Source organism: Homo sapiens, chromosome 1, assembly GCF_000001405.40.
Source record: "Homo sapiens chromosome 1, GRCh38.p14 Primary Assembly".
Lineage (NCBI taxonomy): Eukaryota > Metazoa > Chordata > Mammalia > Primates > Hominidae > Homo > Homo sapiens.
The window spans coordinates 218,458,112-218,465,973 of NC_000001.11; the positions used below are offsets into that span (position 1 = coordinate 218,458,112).

A 7,862-nucleotide genomic window follows, 5' to 3' on the forward strand; every position below is an offset into this window, starting at 1 on the left:
TAGATATAACTTAACTGTATATTTTGAAATCACCTAAAGAGTGCATTGGATTGTCCATAACTCAAAGTGTAAATGCATAATCTCCATAACGTGCTTATTTAATGCCTGTATTAAAACATCTCATGTACCCCATAAATATATACACTTATTATGTATCCACAAAAATTAAAAATAGAAAAAGATGGTTATACATAACTATACACATCCAGTAATGCTGTTTGTGGGAAATTATCTTAACAAAATAATCACAATAGCTCCAGGCACAAAGATATTCATTACAGTATTAATTATAGTTACAGAAAATTAAGATAATCCAGACTCCCAAATATATGGATTTAGTTAGATGTATTACTTATGTAATATATATAGCACAGTATAACCCTACAGGGTAATATTACATAGTGGTTAAGATCACTTTGCATTAGAGAGATGGAAGTATTTTCAAGCTATGTTTTGGTGATAGTTGCACAGCAGAATGAATACGTTAACATTTGTCAAACTATACTCTTATGATTGAGTGAATGTTATAGTATGTAAATTATATGCCTCAATCGAGCTATTAAAATGCTATAGCAGAATATTTAGCAAAATGTAAAATGCTCACAATTGTTGGTTAAATTTTGCCAAAATCTCTATATAGAAAAATAATGAGACACATAGTAAATTTGTAACAGTTGTTACCTAAGAGCAGTAAGATTTGGTGACACTGTCATTTTCTTTTTTGTGCTTTTCTATACTTTCTAGATTTTCTATACAAATATTTAATAGTTTATCATTAGAAAGCAGAAATGTTACAAAATTGTTCATGAAGAATTGCTGATATCATACAAAAAATATATCTAGTTCGATTTGAAGTGGCAAGCAGTATAGAAAAGTGCATGCAGAGAATAGCTGAACCTTGAGAAGAGCAAACACTTCCATACTGCTTACTTTATCAGGCACTGATTATCAGCACTATTAAGTGCTTCGCATTTATTAATACACGTAGTCTTTACAACAACCCTATGAGACAGAGTCTATTACAGTCTCCATTTCTCAGGTGAGTAATGTGAGATAACCAGAGAAGTAGATGGGCCAAAGTCATACAGGTCTTAAAAGGAGGAGCTAAGAATACAAAAGCAGGCAATGAGCTCCAGAGCCTACGCGCTGACCTGCTGCTATGCAATGCAGCAGAGAAACGGACCAAAAGGCTCACCGTTCTTATCTCTGTGTGATGCGAGACTAGTTCTTATCTCTTTGGGTTAGTATTATTTTTTGCTTTACTATCTTCACATAGTAAACACACATTATTATACTGACAGATATATTTTATTCAAAAGATAGAATCATTAAACCACATCAATAACCCAAAGCTAATAAGCACTGCCTATGTCAAGGGGTTTGGTAAGGATTCCATATAAACGGAAAGGCCCTCTCTGTGTAAGGTAATGTGACAATTTTGCTAGCATTGTGTCAGCACAGTGCGGGCCCTTGATTGTTCTTGCTGACTTTCTGAAGAGCCACGGGGTGGAGGGGATGAGGCCTGAAAGGGAAGTGCGTGGAGCTTACTTAGGCAGGTGGCCAAAATGGCGGCTTGGCCTCTGCAGCAGAAAGACACCGGGCAAAAGTGCATCTAGGATATTTGGGAATAAGATTCAATTGTCTCGAGTCCATTGCCTTGAACCCTGGGTCTATTTCTCTTTTGTCTGTAGCCTGTCATCTGAAAAGTGTCGTGTTCCAAAAACATTTTATTCATTAAATTTAGCCCCTGCCTTCCTCTCCTAAAAGTGGATCTGTGTTGTCCAGGTTTCTGACGCTCCCCCTCCTCTCCTGGAAGTCCCCTGGGCAAGACAGGAGTAAGTGCAGTGGTCGAGATCATGGCAGCAAAGGTGACCTTGTCTGCAAATTGCACATGTCCTTCCTTGCCACAGAGATGGGATTCCAAAACAGACCCGGTAAAAGCCAGTTGAGGAGTTTCACAGAGTCACAGCAGGGTGTTCAGCTTTATACATAGTTGTGGGATGACTCACTACCAAATGCTTCCTAAAAGAGACTCCTTAAGTTACGGTAACATTTTAGAATGGTATTTATAGTGCCAATAGAAAATAGGAGGGGCAAGTTATTTGGAGCATTGCCTTTTTCTGCACACTCTCCTCCCTGCCAGCTATTTCTCTTTTTCAGTTTTCACATCTTCTTTGTCCCCTGCCTGAAGGCAAAGCCTGCAAGAGACAGCCTTCTGATGGCCAAGGGGCTCTGCAGCTGACCCCATGTACTGGCAATAAACAACCTTTCAAATGTTCCCATTATATCCCCCTCTGTCCCAAATCCCCACCCTAGCCCCTCCAGCTAGACCCTCCAATCTGCTATGCTCCTTCCAACAGTTCTGTTCTCTGTTTATTAACAATTCAGATGTACTGTCTTGAAATGAGTGGAAATGCCAGAGGTTATTTGTTCTGGTTTCCTTCCACTGTGTATGCTCCGTTTCCGTGGCTGTCTGTTGGTTACCTAGGATATGGCCAGGGGAGGCAAAGGATTGGCCAGGAGCTTGGATGGATTCCCTGGGAGGCTGTGGAGCAGGGCTTAGTGGTCAGTAGGATGCCCTAATTGAGTGCCTGATTAACGACTCAATGACCCCTTCTGGGCTGGGCTCACAGTGTCCTCTCTAGGACTCCAGGAGTTCCACATCCATACCCCTGTTTTGGCTCTTCTTCACTGGTATATAAATTTGTCTATCTGTCCACCACAAGGCTATAGGATTCTCTAAAACAATGATTATATATTATTCTGTGTTGTGCCTGGCACAGTTCAAAGCACACAAATGGTGCTTGATATATGTAGGTCAAATTCATACCTAAATAAGCACTTACTCTGGTTTTTCTCTTTTTTTAGTTTGAAATAATTTTGGCTTTTAACATTCCAATAATGATTTTGATGGAAAATACACCGCATATTTATTAATCACCAATTGCATCGAGACCTTTTTAGCTCTATTAACTTCTTTACCCTTCAAAATGACTTTATGATAAAGTAGATATTATTATCATCCTCATCAAATTACATATAAAATCACCATGTTCAGGGAGTGTAAGTAATTTTGCCTGAGATCTCTGTTAGGAAGTGGCGAAGCCAGGATTTGGGTCTCTGGGTGTCTTATTGCTTACACTGCTCCGTAAAGCCCCCAAACTAGACTGCTACCTATATGTATGCTTTAATCATGTGAATTCAACTGGAAAAATGTGCTGTTTTGAAAGTCACTCAAAGAGTTAATACTGGAAATAAATGAATGGCTATGTGGAAATTTTAAAAGTTTATTATCATGGAAAATTTCAAACATATACAAAAGTAGCAAGAAGAATACAGAAGCCTCATGTATCCTTTATTCATCTACAACTGCTTTATTTACATTATTCTTCACTTTCCCTTTTCCTCCACTGGATTATTTGGAAAGAAATCCCAGATAGTGACTCAATTGACTAAGATCTTTAAAATTGTTAACACAATGATATTTCTGCTCCTGGAACATAAACATGCTTAGACAATTTTGGTAAAACCATCCAAAGAAACTGATTCCCTCTGGTTGTTAGAACTATTCAGCTGCTGTGTGTGTGTGTATATATATATATATGAGTGTGTGTGTGTGTGTATACGTATATATATGTATATACACACACACATATATGTGTATATGTATATATGTATATACACATATACACATATATGTGTGTGTGTATATACGTATATATATGTATATACACATACATATGTGTATATATAAACAGCAGCCAAATGGTTGCTGTATATATATATGGCTATATATATATATATAGCCATATATATATGTGGCTAACCGTTCACTATATATGGCTGACAGTTCACATTATCCTCAGACCCTATTAGTTCTTCTATTAGTTCTTTAGAGTATGAAATATACCCTACATAAGTGGAAAGCAAGAGATCCTCTAAAGTGTACTCCTCCGTATTTTAGATAGACTTACATTTGGGAAATAAACATGTAATTTTGCATGTCCCAAGTGAACCTCAACAGAGTGCTCTAGATCAGCATAAATGTATTAAACTTTCAGGTGCTATTACTTTCTTTTCCGTTGCAGATTTTATATGCAGTATCACATAAGTGAGCTTTTTCCATTCTCTTCAACGGAGTCTCTGTCCATTTTTTCAGAGGCTGGTTGTTGGTAGTAACAGCAGGAACATCGCCAGCATTTTACCATGACGCCCTCAAGAGTTCAAGACTGGTTTGGAGAAACATCCAACATTTAAATGTGTATAGAAAAACTTTCAACCACCCCAGCAATTTTTACAAAAGTTTTAGGAGAAAGCCTTATCAAGAATGATCTTTTATCTGGGGGAAACTGTTACAATTTTACTCTTCAGCATGATTTGGGTTTTGATCAAAACTAGAGATTGTGACAGTGGGATTTTATGCAGAGGTCTGAGGTGTATATGCACATGTGTGTGCATGTTTGTGCACATGCACGAACATACCAGACCAAGCAGGTGGGTGGAGAGTGATTTGTAAAAGTGACAGGAGGGGCACATGAGTGAGAACCATTTTGGTGTCTGTAGCTTTATGTACTTGGGGATGTCAGGTCTAAAAATAACTCTCCTTTGGAACCATTGTTGTTTATCTGTATCCTGGGTTTTCCCATTCTTAAAAATACCCTGACATACATAAAAAGACTGTATTCCAAAGGTTAATGCCCATTAATCCGAAGGGAGTGGTGAGTAAATTCCTTATATATCAGTCTAAGAATAGGTCTTGGAGCTATTCAAGTGTGTGCCATCATGTGAGCAGTTTCTTCTTTTTTTAAAGGAAGCAAATGGTAATGGTTGGGGAAGAAAAGGAATAAACGGTAAAAAAAAATGGATAAAAGGGTTTGGATAAAATAAAATTTACCCTAAACATGTCTCTGTGGCTTGAAAGAATCACTGCATAGAAAAGGTTTTATCTGGGGAGGGGTTGTGGGGGGAGAAGTTGTCTGAGAATATTTTCCCCGCTGTGGCATTTCCCATTGGAGCCTAACCCAAAACTCTGAAAATCCAAGGAAAGTGAGCACTTTTATTTTATTTCTTTCTTTTTTAAGGCTGCTTTGCACTGTGATTTTTTTGACTCAAGGGATTCTGATTCTTTCCTCTGCATGCAAGGATAACAGGCCCTAGCCATGTCCAGCTTGCCCCCTCAACACAGGTCAGAATCCCTTTCGGATTTCTGTTTCCAACAGAATGTCTGGCAACCAGACTTTCTGAATCAGCGTTGTTTCTGCACCGCTGCTCCCGACACGCTGGAGGCCAGGCAAAGAGCAAAATACAAAGAATTGAAACTAATTCCGCAAGGCTGCTAAAGGTTTCAGATACAGCCCAGTTTCCTCTCTGAATCCGTTGTTCTCCTCTGTGCCCCTTTATGCTTCTGGGCACCACACTCTAGGCGAAAGAGTCTCCTGGGACCAACACCTAACCAGGTTTCCTCACAGTACCTGTTTGTATGGTGAGTTAAAAACAAGCAAAATTTAAAAACGGTGTACATCTGGACAAGTTGGAAAGGTCAAATGGATTTTTTTTTTTTAAGGATGTATTTCTGCATGACTCACTGGGCCTTCTCACTTCCTGCTAGAATTATTACAAAATATATCTGGAAGACAGTGAGCCCGCTGATGACTTCCCTTCACGGACTACACACAGGCCTGCTGTGGTATCAGGCGCCCCTTGGCCAGCTGCCCTCTTTCTTGGTCCCCTCTCCAGGGTCACTAGCAAAGACACAGACTGGCCACAGATAACAATTACTTCTCCCAAGCTGGCTTGTTCCATTAAGCATTTTGGGAAAACCAAATGGCTATTGATGATGATTGAGATTTTGCTCATGTGCAGCCCTAAAGGGCGGGAAAAACACCACTCTGGAAAGGTATTGGATGATAGCTGTGAATGACATTTCTTATGACGACTGCTATTTTGAAATGTGCTTTGTAATAATATTTCAGGCACTCAGTTTAAATTTCAAGTTCTCAAGCAAAATTATATACAGTAAGGAGGAAACTTTCTGCTCCCCTTGCAAATTTTTGTTGGTGGTATTCTCATAATTCTATTTTTTTTCTTATAGGACAAATTTATGTGTCTTCTGAGATATTATTATTATTATTATTATTATTTTTAGAGGGAGTCTTGCTCTGTCCTTCAGGCTGGCGTGCAGTGGCGCTATCTCGGCTCACTGCAACCTCCGCCTCCCGGGTTCAAGCAATTCTGCTGCCTCAGCCTCCCGAGTAGCTAGGATTACAGACAAGAGCCACCACACCCTGCTAATTTTTGTATTTTAGTAGAGATAGGGTTTCACCACTTTGGCCAGGCTGGTCTGGAACTCCTGACCTCAAGTGATCCGCCCGCCTCGGCCTCCCAAAATGCTAAGATTACAGGCCTGAGCCACTACACCCGGCCCTGAGATATTATTTAGATGTCTCCTGAGATAATTAGTTGTATGTTCCCACCCCTCCTCTTTATTTGTAGTATTTTCAAAGACAGATCTATTTTAAAATGTCACCAATTTAGATAAAGATGGGAACCTTTTAAGTACTTATAAAACATTAGTGTTCATGCAAAAAATAAATGTTATAACAACAGTTATGCTATATCCAGTCCCAGGCCCACCTCTTCTCTTAGATCCTCCTCTTGCCCAGTCCTTGGAATTATTTATTCACATCCAGTGCTGCCAGCTCACCACTCTGAATCTTTAGCCCTAACCTCTCCCCTGAGCATTGTTCACCCATCTCTAAGGGTCAGTTGAATAATTCACTTACATGACCAGTCACCTAAACCTTACGGTTCTCACCTGAGGTGATTTTGCCCCTCAGGGGATATTTGACAATTTCTGGAGGTTTTTTGGTTGTGGAAACTTAAGGGAAAGGTGCTATTAGCATGGTGGGTAGAGGCCAGGGCTGTTGCTAGATACCCTAGAATGCATGAGAAAGGCCCTCATGACAAGGAATTCTCTGACTCACAATATCCATAGTGCCTAGATTGAGAAATCTTGCCTTAATCTAAGAAGAAATTTATTCAGTTTTTCTCCTAAATCCCACTTTTTCCATTAAACATTTTTTTCTGAGTGGGGAGCAGTGGCTCATGCCTGTCATCCCAGCACTTTGGGAGGCCGAGGTGGGTGGGTTACTTGAGCCCAGGAGTTCAAGATCATCTGGGCAACATGGTGAAACCCTCTCTCTACAAAAAAAAAATAATAATAATAAAAATAAAAATAAATTAGCCTTGTGTGGTGGTGCACGCCTGTAGTCCCAGCTAAGCAGGAGGCTGAGGTGAGGTGGGAGGGTCACTGGAGCCAGGGAAGTCAAGCCTGCCATGAGCAATGATTGTACCACTGCACTCCATGCACTCCAGCCTGGGTGACAGAGAGAGATCCGGTCTCAAAACAAAACAAAAACCTTCTCTGAACAATTCTAGTTATTCCTTCCTTTGAACTCTACTGCGTATTTGTCACTAAATGATGTACTGCTCTATATTATTTTTTTGGATGTGTGTGTGTATAGTTCGTCTCCCTAAATGAATTTGAGATTTCCTGGCAGCAGGGCTTATCTCCTCTTTTCTTTTTGTGCTTTGAACTATGCCCACCCCAGTGCTCTGCACTTAGCATATACTCAATATGTTTCAGATAAATGAATATATCTTCAGTGAATGGTTGAATCCTAAAGTTTAAAGACGATACATTGGGGTGATGGCAAGGCTTTCCCAAGAAACTTAGACAAGGGGTAAGAAAGGTTGCTGTTAGAAATCTAAAGAAATTAAATAAGCATATAACAGAAATAGCGTGTCTTCTGGGGTTTATAGAAATAGTAATTAGATGTTAGTTAACTATAATCTTAAACTTT

At 39.5% G+C, this 7,862-nt stretch overlaps 3 annotated features.

Annotated features, from left to right (window-relative positions):
• Nucleotides 1,068-2,067: an enhancer, noted in NCBI's record as "NANOG-H3K27ac hESC enhancer chr1:218632521-218633520 (GRCh37/hg19 assembly coordinates)". NCBI's record gives its function as "activates a minimal SCP1, AML or CMV promoter by ChIP-STARR-seq in naive H9 embryonic stem cells {active_cell/tissue: H9 hESC(naive)}" and the evidence as "EXISTENCE:reporter gene assay evidence [ECO:0000049][PMID:30033119]".
• Nucleotides 1,068-2,110: a biological region, named in NCBI's record as "Sharpr-MPRA regulatory region 8131".
• Nucleotides 1,816-2,110: an enhancer, noted in NCBI's record as "tiled region #8131; K562 Activating DNase unmatched - State 8:EnhW". NCBI's record gives its function as "activates a minimal TATA promoter and a strong SV40 promoter by Sharpr-MPRA in K562 cells {active_cell/tissue: K562}" and the evidence as "EXISTENCE:reporter gene assay evidence [ECO:0000049][PMID:27701403]".